Consider the following 16,785-nt stretch of genomic DNA (forward strand, 5'->3'; position numbering starts at 1 on the left):
CCGTGCCCTGCCCTCTGCCCCGCTTCTGCTCTACTTTCTTGCTATTTGCCTCCTAAGGCTTCAAAATACTGCTAAACACATTTCTAAAGCCTTCTAGACATAGGACAGTTTGTGTATGAATCATTTTATTTAAGAATTAGGACAATCTTTTTTGTTGGAAGTAGAATAAATTGTGCTCCAATTTCAGGTGCTTATGAAAAATACATTGTACCACAACCTGAATATTATGTTGTGTAAATCCCTCCAGCCATCTCATTTGGGGCAACTTTTAGATAAGGAATGAAATTACTTGTGGTATAATCTATAATTATTTTTGGCAAATGCATGAGTTTCTCCTGCTTGAAATATAAATGTTTTATTAGGTAGCCACAGTATTTGGCCCCTGCATGGGTGCTTAATTGAAGAAAAGAAAGAAATAACATCTAAAGATCTGTGTTTCATGGACGTTTGCGAAAATGGCCGTCACAACTCATCTGGTAGACCAGAAGACCAGGTGGACGTGACTTATATTAAATCTTGCCAGAGCTGGACATCTGGCTCTTCAGTTGTTCTGGTTTCAATTTGGATGTGAAGCACCGTTCTTAGTGTGATTCAAGTACTAGATCCACTTAAAGAGTTCTTGTGTAGCCCAGGTCTCTGCCATGTTTGAGAGCTGTGGTTTGTTTTTTGACAGGAAACCTCCATCAGAGTTTATTGTAGGTATCTCATTAGTAATTTTTAGCATGCCACTGTGTACCAATGTTGAACTTTATCAGTTGAATTAGAGACCATGTTAGGACCTGAATGACAACTTCCCTAATTAACCTGAACCACATTCTGGAACGCCTTTTGACATATTGTTGCCTTGTAAGTAAATGGCTCCACTTTTTTTTTTTTCTTTTTTCATACAAAGACAGTTTTCTATCTATCCTCAAGCACACCAACCATGTTGTTGTTGTTCTGACTTACGGCATTTGCTTGATTTATTTTCCACCCTGCTCTTCTTTGCTTACGTAAGTCCTCAAATTTCTGCTTAATTGTAATGATCCCTGACTACCTTATAAAGGCATATCTCTGAGGTATGGTGGATTCAGTACCAGACCACAGCAATAAAGCAATTATCAAAATAATTAAGTCACACAAATGTTTTAGTTTCCCAGTGCATAAAACTTAAGTTTACACTATACTGTACACTGAGTATTCAATAGTGTTGTGTCTACAACCGGTACATATCTTAATTTAGAAATACTTTATTGCTAAAAAAATGATAATGATCGTCTGATCCTTCAGTAAATCCTAATCTTTTTGTTAGTGCCACAACTTGACTCCATGTTTTTGGCTGCTGATTGATCAGGAGGGTAGTTGCTGAAAGTTGGGGTGAATGTGACAATTGCCTTAAATAAGACAACAGTGAAGTTTGTTGCATTGATTGGCTCTTTCTTTGGTGAAGTATTTCCCTGTAGCATGTGATCCTATGTGATAACATTGTAGCCATGGTAGAACTTCTCTCACAAGTGAAGTCAATTCTTTCAGACCCTGCTGCAGCTTTATCAACTCAGTTATGTAATGTTCTAAATATTTTGTTGTCATCTCAAAGATGGTCACAGCATCTTCAGCAGGAGTGCGTTCCATCTCAAGAAACTGACATTTTTGCTCACCCATAAGAAGCAACTCCTCATTTGTTTGTTTGATCATGAGATTGCAGCAATTCAGTCACATCTTCAGTCTCCACTTCTATTTCTAGTTTTCTTGCTCTTTATACCATGTCTCTGGTGATTTTCTCCATTGAATTCTTGGACCCCTCCAAGTCATCTATGAGGGTTGGAATCAAATTCTTCCAAACAACTGTTAATGTTGGTATTTTGATTTCCTCTCATGGATCACAAATGTTCTTTATGGCATCTGGAATGGTGAATCATTTCCAGGAGGTTTTCAATTGACTTTGGCCAGATCCATCAGAGGAATCACTATCTATGGAAGTTATAGCCTTATGAAATGTATTTCTTAAATAATAAGACTTGAAAGTTGAAATGACTCATTGATCTATGGGCTGCAGAATGGATATTGTGTTAGCAGGAATCAAAACAACATGTACCTCTCTGTCCACCTCCATCAAAACTCTTGGGAGACCAGGTGAATTGTCAATGAGAAGTAATATTTTGAAAAGAATCTGTTGTTTTTCTGAACAGTACATCTCAAGGGTGAGTTTAAAATATTCAGTAAACTGTGCTGTAAAACAGATATGCTGTCATCCAGGCTCGATTGTTCTGTTTATAGAGCACCATCAGAGTACATTTAGTATAATTCCTAAGGTACCTATGATTTTTGAAATGGCGAATGAGCATTGGCTTCAACTTGAAGTCACCAGCTGCATTAGCCTCTAAAAAGAGAGTCAACTTGTCCTCTGAGGCTTTAAATTCAGTTACTTATTTTCTCCTTTTTAGCTATAAAAGTCCTACATGGCATCTTATTCCACTGGAAGCGTGTTTTATCTACATGGTAAATGTGTTTAGTGTAGTCACCATCAATTCTTTTTTAAGCTAGATCATCCAGATAAACTTCTCGCAGTGTTCCATTAGCACTTGCTGCTTCACCTTGCACTTTTATTTTATGGAGAAAGCGTCTTTGCTTCAACCATATGAATCAACCTTTGCTAGATTCAAACTTTTTTTCTGCAGCTTCCTCACCTCTCTCAACTTTCATAGAGATGAAGGGAGTTAGGGCCTAATCTAGGCTTTGGCTTATGAGAATGTTGTGGCTGGTTTGATCTTCTATGTAGAGCACTAATAGTTCCTCCATATCAGCATGAAGGCTGTTTCAGTTTGTTATTATTCGTGTGTGCATTGGAGTAACACTTTTAATTTTCTTCAAGAACTCTCCCTTTGCATTCACAGCTTGGCTAACTGGCACAAGAGGCCTAGCCTTTTGGCCTTTCTCAGCTTTCAATGTGCCTTAATCGCTAAGCTTAATAACTTTTAGCTTTTTCTTTAAAATGAAAGAGGTACTACTCTTTTTTGTGCTTGAATACTTAGAGGCCGTTGCCAGATTATCAATTTGCCTAATAATATCACTGTGTTTCAGGAAACAGGAAGGTCTAAGGAGACAGACAGAGATGGGGGGAACGGCTGGTTGATAGACCAGTCAGAACACAGAAATTATTAAAATAATTACAATAATAACATCAAAGATTACTAATCACAGATCACCATAACAAATACAGTAATAAGGAAAAGTTTGAAATATTGGGAGAATTAACCAGAATGCGACACATAGGCATGCCATGAGCACATACTGTGTGAATAATGGTGCTGATATACTTTCTTGATGCAGGGTTGCCACAAACTTTCAAATTGTAAAAAAAAACAGTATCTGTGAAGAACAATAAAGTGAAGTACAATAAAATGAAGCATGCCTGTATAAAGTGATTCATCTAGATATTCTTTGATTCACTCATTTGTTTTCGTCACGTATATCACGTGATGTATAATTATTTTCTGAATATTTACTCATTTTTTAACAGTCTTCTCAGCTGTTATGTAAGCTCTCTGAAACATAGAAAATTTTGCTAACCTGTTAAAGAGTTACATTTCTAGCACTTAACACTATCCTTGATATGTGGTAATGGTCAGTAAATATTTATTGAATGAGTCGAGGAATTGTGATCATCTGTATTGTTTAGGTTACAGAAGAGTTAATTTAAAAAAATAGTATATTTTGGCTTTCCAGTGGTTTTAGTTGAGTGTGATTGTTTAACAAAAATGTATTGAGCAACTAGCTGGCTGCCATGGGGGATTTTTAAAGTGATGGACAGGGTCCTTGTTTCTCAAAGAATACGCATTCTAGTATATAATTTGGCATGTGTATGGAAGAGTCAATGAAAGATTACGAAAGACAAATGGTGGAGGCTCAAAGCTATGCTTTTATTCTCATGTGCTGGTGGAGTACTACTATGGATCTGATAACAGTAAATTTGCTGTCTCATCAGTTACAATCTGTTCTTCACTATTAATTGAGTTATAATTCTGGGACACTCACTCAGTCCAAATCTGACCTGTGATATTATCCTCAAAATAAATGCTTGAGAACAAGTATTATCCTAAATTTACTGACAAAGAAAGGGGAGTCTATGAGGTAAAATACTTTTCTTAATGATACATAGTTGTCAAGATGCAGTCAGGGGTTCAGCCCCATGTTTTCTAAATCCAAGTCTTAAATATTTTTCTGTATACAACGTTGCCTTTCTTCTTTCTACCCCCTTTATAAGCAAAATGTTAACAAAATGTTTTTTCTTTCTGCATAATAATTTGACCTTTAGTTAACTCCCTGCCTCTGATCTGATAACCTTATAAAAGTGGTACACCAACCAAGTTACTAAGCAAGGTTGCTATGTCATGACCCCTGATTGGTAATTTGCATATATACTGGGAAGAATTATAAATGAATTACACATACCAGATGGTGCTGCCGTAATGTTGTGATTCCTGAGTATGGTGACTTACAAATGGTATGCACCAGGAGGGTGGTCCTGAAAGCTATGTCCATGGGATTAATTTAGTACATATGGACTCCTCGTGGAGCATGAGGCTTGTAACCAGGATGACTGTCATACCCACTGGTATGTATCTTGTCTTCTTGCACCTGAGGAACAGTGTGGATTGCTCCTGATAATTCTGCAGAATAATACCTGATGCTACCCTGCTGGCAAGCTGTGATTCTTTTTTTTTTTTTTTTTTTTTTTTGAGACATGGTCTCATCCTGTCACCCAGGATGGAGTGCGGTATTGTGATCACAATGACTCACTGCAGTCTCGAGCTCCTGGACCCAAGCCATCCTCCCACTTCAGCCTCCTAAGTTGTTGGGACCACCGGCATGCACCACCATGACCAGCTTATTTTTTATTTTTATTTTTTTGTAGAGACAGTTTCTCCTTATCTTGCACAGGCTGGTCTCGAATTCCTAGGCTGAAGTGATTTTCCCGCCAAGGCCTCCCAAAGTGTTGAGATTACAGGTGTGAGCCACTGTGCCCAGCCAAGCGGTGATTCTTGTCCTGTAACCTTCTAAGTGTTTGATGCCAGGTGACACTTGTGGTGGTCTTGTGAGCTTGAATGTTTAGCTGAACCTGAAAACTCTTGGGTAGAGTCCTAGCAAGTAAAATTTTTGATTTTTTTATCCACAGATAAACAAATATCTTCAATCATTTGTCTTGATCTTAATGGCCATTGTCCTGTAATGAATGAATTTGGGCTTTGAATTTTGTGAGCTTGAATGTTAATTGAACCTGAAAACTCTTTAGTAGAGTCATAGAAAGTAAAATTTTTCATTTTATGCCCACATATACACGAATATCTTCAATTACTGGTCTTGATCTTAATGGCCATTACCCTGTAATGAATGAATTTGGGCTTTGAATTCAAAGATATTCCACAGATTAGTTCACTTATTTTAATGAAGTTTATGCCTTAAAATGAGACAGTTTCTCCACTTATCCCTATGTTCCACATGAGAATATTGAATGTCATTTCTTTTATAAAAAAGAGTTCCAAATTCATTGTGTAAAGCATCCTCATGAAGTCTGAAGATTTAATTTGCTTATATATCTTATTGTAATAAAGAAGCAAATTATAATTCGGGGCTGGGGACTGGAGTTTAAAAGAAATACTTTAAAAAATATTTTTAAGAGTTAATTAGCTTTCCAGAGTACTGTGCATTTAATATGTACATAGAAAGTGAGGCTTACATTCACAGCAATCAGAACAAACAAAGCCACAAGTGTGATATTCAGCAATGCACACAGCCCTAGAGAAGAGCATGCATAATATTCAGGCCAACAGAAAAATCACTTTCAGATAAACTAACAGAAGAAGGAATACCTAAGGTAAACTAACTGGGGCAATTTCTAATGAATGCAATTGCACTATGCAAGGATGGGGCAGTTTCAATAGGTTAAACAAAAATAAAAGTTTGGCTTGATTGTTATAATTTGTCAAAGTAAACCACTGTAACATTTAACTACCTCAATATTTTATTGCAAATGACACTAATTAGACTGTGGGTTTTTTGTTTGTTTGTTTGTTTTTTGGTTCTTGCTTTCTCAGAGGGCAGAGTTCTTAGGCTTAGTTCTCCACTTCAATTTAGTTCCTTTCTGATACTAATCACCAGTGTAATTAAGATCATTCCTAAGGGCATCTGAGAAAATGCAAAAATGGCTAGATTTTGCGCTTTGCAGCTTTACCTAAGACCTTAACAAAAATATCATAATGAAGCTGAATATTATGTATTTTTAGCAATAAATAAATGTATTATAAATGAAATTTTGAAATCCCACTTCAAAATTCAATAATTTTGAATGAATTATTGAAATTCAATAAAATTGTATTGTATTCAATTATTTCTTATATTTTTAAATAACTGTCTACTTCAAGTGGTTTTTGTCATTGTTGTTGCACAGGTCTATTAATTTTAACACCTTTATAGATTTGGTAAACATCATTATATTCAGGATATGATACAAGATAAAAGTCCTTTGCTGGATAAATAAGTTCATTGCAGATATTAATATTTTTCTCAATCTGTTACCCCATCCTTTGGTTCTATTAACAATGTATCACAGAAAAAAACTCTTCAATTTTATAAAGCCAAGTTTATTACTATGGATTATGCATTTGGTGTCATAACTCCAGATTGGAGTGGCCATGATAGGAATATGAATGAAACGACCATGGTTGCAATGAAAGAAATTATGTTTGGACTCATCAGCACCAATGTTTGTTTACCAGGCTTTCTGTGGGTCATGCTTTTGGTGTCATAACTCCAGATGACAAAGATCTTCTATCTGTTCCTCTAAAGGTTTTATGGTTATGGATTCTATGTTTAGATCTGTGATCCATTTTAAGTTAAAACTTTTGTAGAAAGTATGAAATTTACACTAGGTTTTTTTTGTTGTTGGTGGTGGTGTTACTTTTTGTTCTGCATGTGGATGTTGAATGGTATGAACACCATTTACTGAAAAGGGAATCTTTTTTCTTTTGAATTGCTTTTCTGTTTTTGTCAGAAATTTAATGACCATATTGGGGGAGTATGTTTATTTCTGTGTTCCTTATTTTCTATTCAGTTGGTCAATGTGTATATCCTCCCACCAATTCTGTATAGTCTTGATTAGTTTTACAGGAAGACTTGAAATTGGATAGTGTAATTTCTCCAACTGTGTTCCTTTGCCATTTTTTTGGTAATTCTAGATCTTTTGCCTTCCCAAATAAATTTTAAAATCAGCTTGTCTATACTGACAAACTATATTCCCATAGAGATTTTTTTTTCTTGTCTTATTGAAGTGGCTAGGATTACTCAGGACAGTGTTCAGTCTTTCTTCATTAAATGACATTGTAGGTGTAGTGTTTTTGTGAATGTCATTTAATAGGTTAGGAAAAATTATTTTTATTTCTAGTTTGCTGCAATAATTTTTTAAATCGTTAATGAACATTAACTTCTTCATATTATTTTTCTGCATCAGTTGGTAAAATCATAAGGGATTTCTTTTCGGACTGTTAATATAATGGCTTTTATAGGTTGATTTTCAAATATTGGTCTGGCCTTGCATTACCTGGATAAATCCCCCTGAATTGTGGTTTTTATCCTTTTTATATATTGTTGGATTCGATTTGCAAATATGGTTTTGAGGATTTTTTGCACTTGTGTGAATGAGGGATATTAGAATATAGTTTACTTTTTTGTTCTTGTTTTCTTTTTCTTTGGTACTGTTTTTCTCTGGACTTGATATCATGGTAATGACATCCTTATAAATGATTTGGAGAAGTATTCCCTTCTCTTTTTTTTCTGAAATAAATTTTATAAAATTGGTGTTATTTTTTCTTTAAATATTTAGTAGAATCTGCCAGTTAAACTATATGGAAATTGAGATTTCTTTTTCAAAATTTCCTTTTTTTTCAAAATCAATTTCTTTTAAATCGGATGATAAATGTTATCCATTTCATCATCAGTCATTTTTGCAATTTGCAGATTTAGAGGAATTGGTCCTTTTCAACTAAAATGTTGGATTTATGTTCATAGAGTTGTTCATATATTGCTTTATTATCCATTTAATGTCTGTAGGGTCTATAATAATATGTTCTCTTTGATTCTTTTCATTGGTAATCTGTGTCTCCTAAAGGTTTACCAATTTTGTTGATTTTTTAAAAATCAGTTTTTGTTGTTACTGATATTCTCAATTGCTTTTGATTTTTCAATTCCATTGATTTTGGCTTTTCATATTCTTATTTTCTTGCTTCAACTTGCTTTGTGTTTATTTTGCTCCTTTTTTTCTAGCTAGTTAAGATGGAAATTTTGAGGTCTCTCTTCTTTTCTTATATAAGCATTTAGGCCGGGTGCAGTGGCTCATGCCTGTAATCCCAGCACTTTGGGAGGCCAAGGCAGGCAGATCATGAGGTCAGGAGATCAAGACCATCCTGGCTAACGTGGTGAAACCCTGTCTCTTCTAAAAATACAAAAAAAAAAAAAAAAAAAAAATTAGCCAGGCGTGGTGGCGGGTGCCTGTAGTCCCAGCTACTTGAGAGGCTGAGGCAGGAGAATGGCATGAACCTGGGAGGCAGAGCTTGCAGATCTCGCCACTGCACTCCACGCTGGGCGACAGAGCGAGACTCCATCTCAAAAGAAAAAAAAGCAAATTTTCTCCTATATTTAGCTTCATTTTATAAACTCTGTCACTATATTTTCATTGAGTTTAAAATATTTTATAATTTCTCTTGAAATTTTCTTTTTGACCCATAGATTATTTAGAAGTGTGTTGTTAGTTTTCAAGTGTTTAATGGGAATTTTATGTTTTTTTTATTAATGTTCTCTGATTTAATTCAGTTACAGAGAACACGCTGTGTATGATTTTAATGACTTCAAGTGCATTGTTGTTAGTTTTATGACCCAGGATATGGTCTATCCTGGGGAATATTCCAGATGCATGTGCATAGAATGTATATTCTGCTGTTGTTGGGCAGAGTAACCTATAAATGTCAATTAGATTCAGTTGACTTATGGAAATTTTCAGTGCTTCTCCGTTCTTGCTGGCTCTTTATCTATGTGTTCTATCTGTTACCAAGAGAGAAGTATTGAAGTCCTACACTATATTTGTAGCTTTGTCTATTTCTATTTTCACAATTGTTGGTTTTAGATTTACGGATTTAGTTCTGATTTTTGTGCATACACAACTAAGATGGTTATGTCTTCTTGGCCACTTGACCATAGTGTAATGGTATCTTTTTAATGTCCTTTCCTGTGCAATCGAGATTTTTCCTGTTCTTTATATGCTGAGTAATTTTTTATATTATCTTGAACATTTTATTTTTACTGATCTTTGGGATGTTATTTTTCTGGCCAGAAACCTGTGGCTGCTGGTGCCTTTTCCGCATTTTCCTAGGGCCCACAGGGCCCATTCCATCCTCTTGGCCTAGCAGGCTGCACTCAGCTCATGCTATTGGTATGGATCACATGCCTCCAAGGGAGACTGTAAGTCATGGAGGTGTGGAGTGGTGAGGGGTGTGTGAGCAAGTGTGGGGTCCGGCCACTGTGCTGTAGACACGCTGGCTGCTGCAGTAGAGTGGGCAGCTCCAGGTGCCGGCATGGGCGCCGGCTCTCCAAGAGGCTGTGATTGGACCAGGCGTTACTGCAAACAGCTTCCCTGCCTGGCACTGGAAAATGTGGGGGTGCCCGGAAGCTTGGAGATGCCAGGAACTGCAGGGCCCCAAAGAGGGAGTCACAGGCCTGGTCTGGCATGTGGAGCTCCCAAGTTTGGGCTCCTAGAAGGGCCACAAACTCCTTCTCTTCTTCTCTCCTCTCCTTCTCTTTGCAATGTGTTGAGAAAGGGGCATCTTTCTGCCCTGTTTGTGTTACAGCCCTTTTAGCTTTGCCATTCAGTAGGTCCGAGTTCTTCTCTTGCAACCAGGAAGAATGAGGTACATAGACAAGTGAAGGGTGAGCAAGACAAGAGGAGCTTTACTGAGCAACAGAACACCTCAGTCTCCCACAGGGAGAAAGCTCCTTAGCTCCTAGCAGAGAAGGTAGCTCTTCTCTGCAGACAGATTGTCTCATGTGCTTACTCAAAGGAGAGAGGGTAGCTCCTCCCTGTAGCTAGTTGACCCATCATCTGCTCAGCTGTGGCTGAGCCTGGGGCTTTTATGGGCCTCACATGGGAGGAAATGTGCACCAATTGGTCCATGGGTGGCCATGGGTGGGCCCAGAAAAGTCACTGCAATTCCCACTTCAGTGAGTGGGACTGGCAGCCTGGCCTGAAGGTAGGGCCTCACCAGGGACCTGCCCCCTTTTGTCCAGGAGCCTGTCTGCCTCCTGCTGCCGTCCATGGGCCCAGGCTGCTCTCACCAAGGGGCACCTATAGGTCAGTGTTGAACTGCCCTAAGCCCCTACTTGTTTCCCCCACCCACTCTTTGGTGCCCAAAGTATGGAGCAGGCCAGGGTGCAGGGGGATGATGTGTCAGCACTGCTGGAGCGTGCACACACCTGGCTGGGCTGTGATAGCACCCATGCTTGGCCCCAACCCCACTACAAGATCGGAGCAGGCACTGGGAATGGGGAAAGGCCAGGAAGTGAGAGCAGTCACCACCAAGCCTGTGGGGTCAGGAGGGCCTTCCCAGACCCCTGAGGGTGCAGAATCCAGAGATGCCTGGGACCTGCACATGGGAAGGCAGTGGAGCGCATGCATATGCACTTGGTAGAGCATACAGGCAGCACCAGTTGTGCCTCCTCACAGCCTGATTTGGGGACTTCAGGTCCTCACAGGGCCCCTCTTTGCCCACTCCTCTGTGCCTGACCATGCTGCTCCCCTACTGGCAGATGGCTTGGCCTGGCCCCATCATGGTGTCTCCATGGAATGTGGCACCATCCCAGGCCCAGCTCCACCTCCTCCCTGTGTCCTCCCCACAGCAGCATCAGGCAAGAGTGGCGACACAGGGCCGAATCCCAAGCCATGGATTTTATAGTCTGGGCCTCTGGGTAGGTCCCACCTGGCTATGTGAAGGTGGGGGTGGTGTGGTTGGCTGTGTAGTCGGCTGCCTTGGGTATGTGGGGCAAAGAGACCCACTGCTGCCACTGCTGCTTCTTCAGTTCCCCCTGCTGCCATCACTCACATCTCCCCACTGCAGCCAGCACCATGGCAGCAGCTGCTCCGGATTGCCTGTAGCTGACATCATTATTACATGAGACTCTGTCTTGTTTAAATGCTGTGGAAACTGTTGATATTTATATTTTTAGTGGTCAGTTAAGCTGGCTGAGTTTAGGCCACAACTTTCAACTTGCCTTCTGTAGGTTGTAGTCCTGATGTCAGATAAGTTTTCAAGTCTTCACAGTGTTACTTGGATCTGTTTCTTGTGTGTACCTTCCAGGGTCCAACTTGAGTCCTGGGTGGTAGACTATATATGGATTCACTTCTCAAGGTTTTTAGTGTGCTGAATAGGATCAAGTCTACATTTAGGGAGCTGTAGATGAGCCCAGGTGTTTATAAAAATGTTTGTGGTTACTTTCTCAACATTTTCTCTGCCATTATTCTCTGGAATTTTCCAGTTGTCTGAGCCTTCTTTTTCCCCCAAGCAGAGTGCTGAGACTTTAGTTACCACTGTTTACCATGACCTTCTGTAACTGTGCCAGCACCCAGGGCCAAGTTTTGGGAGGGCAGAGAAAAAACATAGTTGGTCCTACCTTCTGGAACCCCAGTGTGTTGAGTTCAGCCCAGGATATACTGGAGGGAAAAAATTCCAAACTCATTATTGGATTAATGGTATTTTGAATTCTGATCTTCTTCTCTACTCTTCCATATACTGTGTACTTTTCAAAGCCTTCAAATAGCTGGTCCTTGCAGTCTGTCCGGGTTTTGTGGCTGTCTTCAGTGAGAGTCATGTTGGAAGGTGATCACTCCCATCTTACCTGGGGTCGAAACTTTTTTATTCCATTTTTTAAAGTAATTATAATGCTATTGTTCCATCAGTGTGATTTAAATTAATACTTAGTGCCAGGGATGGTGGCTATGCTTATAATTCCAACAACTCAGGTGGCTGAGGCAGAAGGATTGCTGGAGGTCAGAACTTCAACATTGCAAGACCCAGCCTCTAAAAAAATAAAATAATTAGGCAGGTGTGGTGGCATGTGCCTATAATTGCAGCTACTCAGGAGGCTGTGGCCAGACGATTGATTCTAGGATTTCAAGGCTGCACTGAGCTATGATCATGCCACGACACTCCAGTCTGGGTGACAGGGTGAGACCTGAATCCTTAGATAAATAAATAAATACACACACACACACACACACAAACACACACAGCAACCACTATGATGATTGAAACATGTCAGAATGCAAAAGCAAGAACACCTCTATTTAATAACTGTAATATAATTTTGGAGAATTGATGGGAGGCAATTGCTTGCATTTCTTATAGACTATTCCAAATTATTAATGTTAATTACTTAAAATGATTTTATTTTTACACTGTAGAGTTAAAATAACCAACTTTCTTGCTGAATGAAACTGTATGATAGTACCTTAATTTACGTTTCATTTGTGTTTCAATACTCTAGCCTAAAATCAGTACTTTTTCTATTTTCTATAGAAAATAATAAAACTTTCTATATCTGAAACTGTATACAGGTGATGAGCTTTGAGTTGGATGCACAGTAAGATGTTTTGCTTTTAAACCAGATATGCAAAGAGAGGCAACGATCTATGTGGCTTTAGCAAGGGAAAATAACCTGTTGAACTATTTCTTTCACTATATGTTCAAGAGAGTACTTAGGGAGAAAGAGATTAATTCATTTTTAATGCTAGGAAAATACAGTCATTAAAAAGCAGATAATATAAAACGCCAGAAATGCTTTTAACATTACTAGAAGTGCACTTCTTTCTGAAATAGCTTGTTACTTTTGGAGATCTAGATAGGCTGAGGTATTAAATATTAAAATAGAGGGTGCTTTTTAAAATGCAGTGTTTCTTATCAGAAAAAACATTTGAACAAGCATTTCTGTTGTATAATTCATGATATTGCTAATAAGATAGTCTAGGAGAATTATTTGTTACGCTTTTGAGAATGACTGGGATTTTTTTTTTTTATGAGAGAGTATTCCCTGTTCATGTCCTCTTAAATATATATGAGTACTGTTAAACTATATGGGATAGTCACCTGACTGATTTTTTCATATTAGTATGGTCTCCCTATATTTTATGGGAAAATCAATTCAAATAAGAATATTAATGTGAATTTTGCTACCTTCAACAGCATGAGAAGTCAGCAGCACATTTTAAACTATTGATGTAACAGGAAAATAAGTGTTGGAAGGATGTCCCTCTGAACATTTTTATTCAGATTTTCTGCAATAGAAATTAGTATGACTTGCTATTCCTATTTGTGTGTGTGTGCGTGTCTGTGTGTGCGTGCGTGTGTGTGTGTGCATGCGCGCAACTAAATAATATAAACGTAGCCACTGGTCTTCAAAAGAATGCTCCCCTCTTGACTTCTCTCCAGTCTTAGTCATCCATTGGCATGTCAGTAGCTTTTTTTATGGTAGGAACAAGCAATGAAAAGTTGCCCAACTTGTTTCAAATAACAATCCAACTGCGGGGTTCTGCATGCCACCTCAGTTCATCAGTAAACACTATTTACAAAAAATGTATCCATAAGTTTTTGCTACATCGTACTTGAATTATTTTGGTGGATAGAGTTCTTAATACATAATTGTTGATTACTGTAAGTGCTTTTCCAAACTTTCACATTTCTATCACTAAATAGCTAACATGTAAAAAGTAGAAGTAATTTTTCAAGGCATGTTGGTTACTGCCTTTGCTTCAGCATTTTCTGCCCTTAGAACTATTTATCCAATATTAAATGACTTTTTTTTGTAAGATGGCAGACCTTTTATTTTGTTCACACTATTTTATAAATAAAATATTGGGGTGTATAAACATGATTAAAATATGCTATGTACAAATATTAATATGTGACTATGAAACATGATTATTTTCTTGAAGCCTATTCCAATAATTTAGGGAAAATTTTAGAATTTAAACATTTTCCTGTTAACATTATGTTATAATCCACTTAAAAACATTATGTTATAATCCACTTTCTAAATGAGCTGATATCAGTGTTCATTATTTTATAATAGCTATAAGAACCGCATGTAGATATTCTGAGGAAAGTTTTGATGAAAAACACCTCCATTGTTCTCTGACTAGTTATAAATACTGTTGGGGAATGGGTGATGCATTCCCAGTGGTTTCATGTTTAACATTATTTATATTTAAATTTTTTTATTTATGAAAAACAAAAGTGATATTTTAGAGTATCCCAGATTTTAAAATATTTATTTAATTTAGGAAGAAAAAACAGGTTTTTACAAATTCATAGAATTAAAGACAATTTTTGTAAATTCAAATTGTGTAGTTACCTGAATTCTTAAATCATATAAACTGTTTTTTCCATGAATGAGAGAAAGGAAGATCCCTCTTGACTTTATGGATGTTAGAGCTGCCTTCACATGCTAGAGGCATTGCTCTACAATTTTTCTTTTGCAACATTCCTCTGGTTTGGGCTGATAGTAACATTTTTATGATGTTTAAACAAGTTTTCATGCTTCCAAGGAAAACTGAAGAGAATGACTGGATTAGTAAGATCTTGCAGTAGATTAGAGAACTGCCAAAACTCAGTTAATTTAACTATCATTAGCAAACAGTTCACAAATAAATAGTTTATTTTCTTAAAAAAAGGAGGATGTAATCAGAGCCATATTTGAAAATGTGCATATAACTTACAGAATTGAGAGTTGGTACTCTTTTAAGGATAATTCTCATATATTGAGCTAAGAGTGCACAAATCAGTAAAATCTGGCTACATAAAATTATTTTTTCTCCAAAGAAGCTAGTATTTGAGAGTTCCTTTAATTACTGCTTCCTTAACTATTTGTTTCTTATGTGCAGAGTGAGTACAGACTTAACAGCAGGTGTTCATTTTAATATAAGAACAAATGTATGAAGGCTTTTAATCTTAACATAGTACCGTATATGAGCTGCTTATTTAGAGTTATTAATATATAAGATAGTTAATGGTACTTGGATTATCTCTTTGCATTTTTTTTGTCTTATTACATCTGTTTAAATGGAGGCTTTTAGAGTAGCTAGAGCCTGGTCATTGGGCATTTTGGGGACATTTACTATGAGATGGCTATTGGGAAGGTTTAAATCTGGTCAAGAAATGATTTCTCTCTTTAGAAAATTCAGCCTAGAAATCATAGAACAAACTAGAAATGTTAGATGCCCAGGCTCGGTGTTTTAATCTATGAGTTATAACATAGTTCTAGTCTCCAGTGAAAAAAGTCGTCAATAAGACATGGCCCAGGTCTCACAGCCATTTTTTTCTTCAGTTCTTCTCTTTAGGCCAAATAATGCCTAAATGTGCTTGAGAAGTACAGGTTGAATAAATGACTACCTGAAATCCCCATTTACAAATTGGTCTGATACAGAGTAGATTTCTCAGAATGTCTTCACCAGACAGTATAGTTTTTGGTAAACTGTATCTGTGTAAATTGTCACCCTGACATCAACAAGTGGCACCAACACAGGCATAATTTACCAGAAAAAAATTCCTGAAATTATCATGGTTCTATAAGCAAATTCTGGAGGTGAGGTGCAGTTGTTTCAAATACATCCTCCTCCTTCAGAGTATTTATCTGAATCTTCTGGATCCATAGCACATGAAGGAGAATTTCAGAGTGAGATCACCTGGTTTTGGCACTGGGAGCAATGTGATCATTGTTATGGCAGTGATTATGTGAGGGACATGTTACTAGTAAAACTTAAGGAAATCATGTTACAGGTCAGTCAGTATATGATGTGTCTCTATGAAGTGTACCTGAACTTTGGAAGATAACCTCCCAAACTTACCAAAACTACACACCCAACCTATTTTACTGGTACTTTAAAGGACAAATAATACTGTCAGAAGTAATTTTGGAAATAGCTCTGAAGACTACTATATTATAGGCATGTTGGACCTTTTGAGAGAGGGGGAGATATTTACAAAGTCCTGTAGCTGGCTACATGGGTGTACTCAGAAAGGGAAATTTTCCATGCAGGCTGTAGCCTAAGCTACTGGAGTGAACAAACCATAAAGAATTGTTTGCTGGAGGCTTGTTGAACCAGACATCTAGATTTTGAAGGATAGGCCTTGCAACCAGAATAAAGCTACATCTTTGTTAAAAGGAGCACACCTGCTTGGAAGATGGGTGGAATAGAATTATGTCTTGGGAAACTATTACCAATTCAAAAAATGTGAATTTAGCATTTATCTCTTTTTAGGATAGTTCCTAAAAAGGAACTAAGAACCAGATCCAAAAACTATAGATTTAAATTTGAAGGGCAAGCTCGATTTGACAATTGTACAAGTATAAAATTTCTGAGCTTGGAAGCAAACCTACAAGCAAAAAACAGGCTGAGCAACATCAAGCACGATAAACATTTCAAAATATCCATAGGGAAAGCATAAAAGCAGGATTGTATGTAGCTACAGAGGACACAAAGATGATCTGAGAAGTTAAAGTTAGGAGAAGTATCTAACAATTAGCGCTGTTCAGCATGGGATGAAGGGCTCGACGTGGTGGCTCATGCTTGTAGTCTCAGCACTTTGGGAGGCCAAGGCGGGCAGATCACCTTAGGTCAGGAGTTCGAGACCAGCCCAGCCAACGTGGTGAGACCCCCCCCCATCTCTACTAAAAATAAAAAAATTAGCTAGGTGTGGTGGTATGCTATCA

At 37.6% G+C, this 16,785-nt stretch overlaps 1 protein-coding gene across 2 annotated transcripts in view, besides 1 other annotated feature; it reads left to right on the forward strand.

Annotated features, from left to right (window-relative positions):
- The window catches only part of GPC6 (glypican 6), a 1,191,492-nt gene that overhangs the window by 246,353 nt on the left and 928,354 nt on the right, over nucleotides 1–16,785 (forward strand). The window lies entirely within an intron of this gene.
- Nucleotides 10,799–11,385: an enhancer, noted in NCBI's record as "H3K27ac-H3K4me1 hESC enhancer chr13:94125933-94126519 (GRCh37/hg19 assembly coordinates)". NCBI's record gives its function as "activates a minimal SCP1, AML or CMV promoter by ChIP-STARR-seq in primed H9 embryonic stem cells {active_cell/tissue: H9 hESC(primed)}" and the evidence as "EXISTENCE:reporter gene assay evidence [ECO:0000049][PMID:30033119]".

This window comes from Homo sapiens, chromosome 13 (assembly GCF_000001405.40).
Source record: "Homo sapiens chromosome 13, GRCh38.p14 Primary Assembly".
Taxonomy (NCBI): domain Eukaryota; kingdom Metazoa; phylum Chordata; class Mammalia; order Primates; family Hominidae; genus Homo; species Homo sapiens.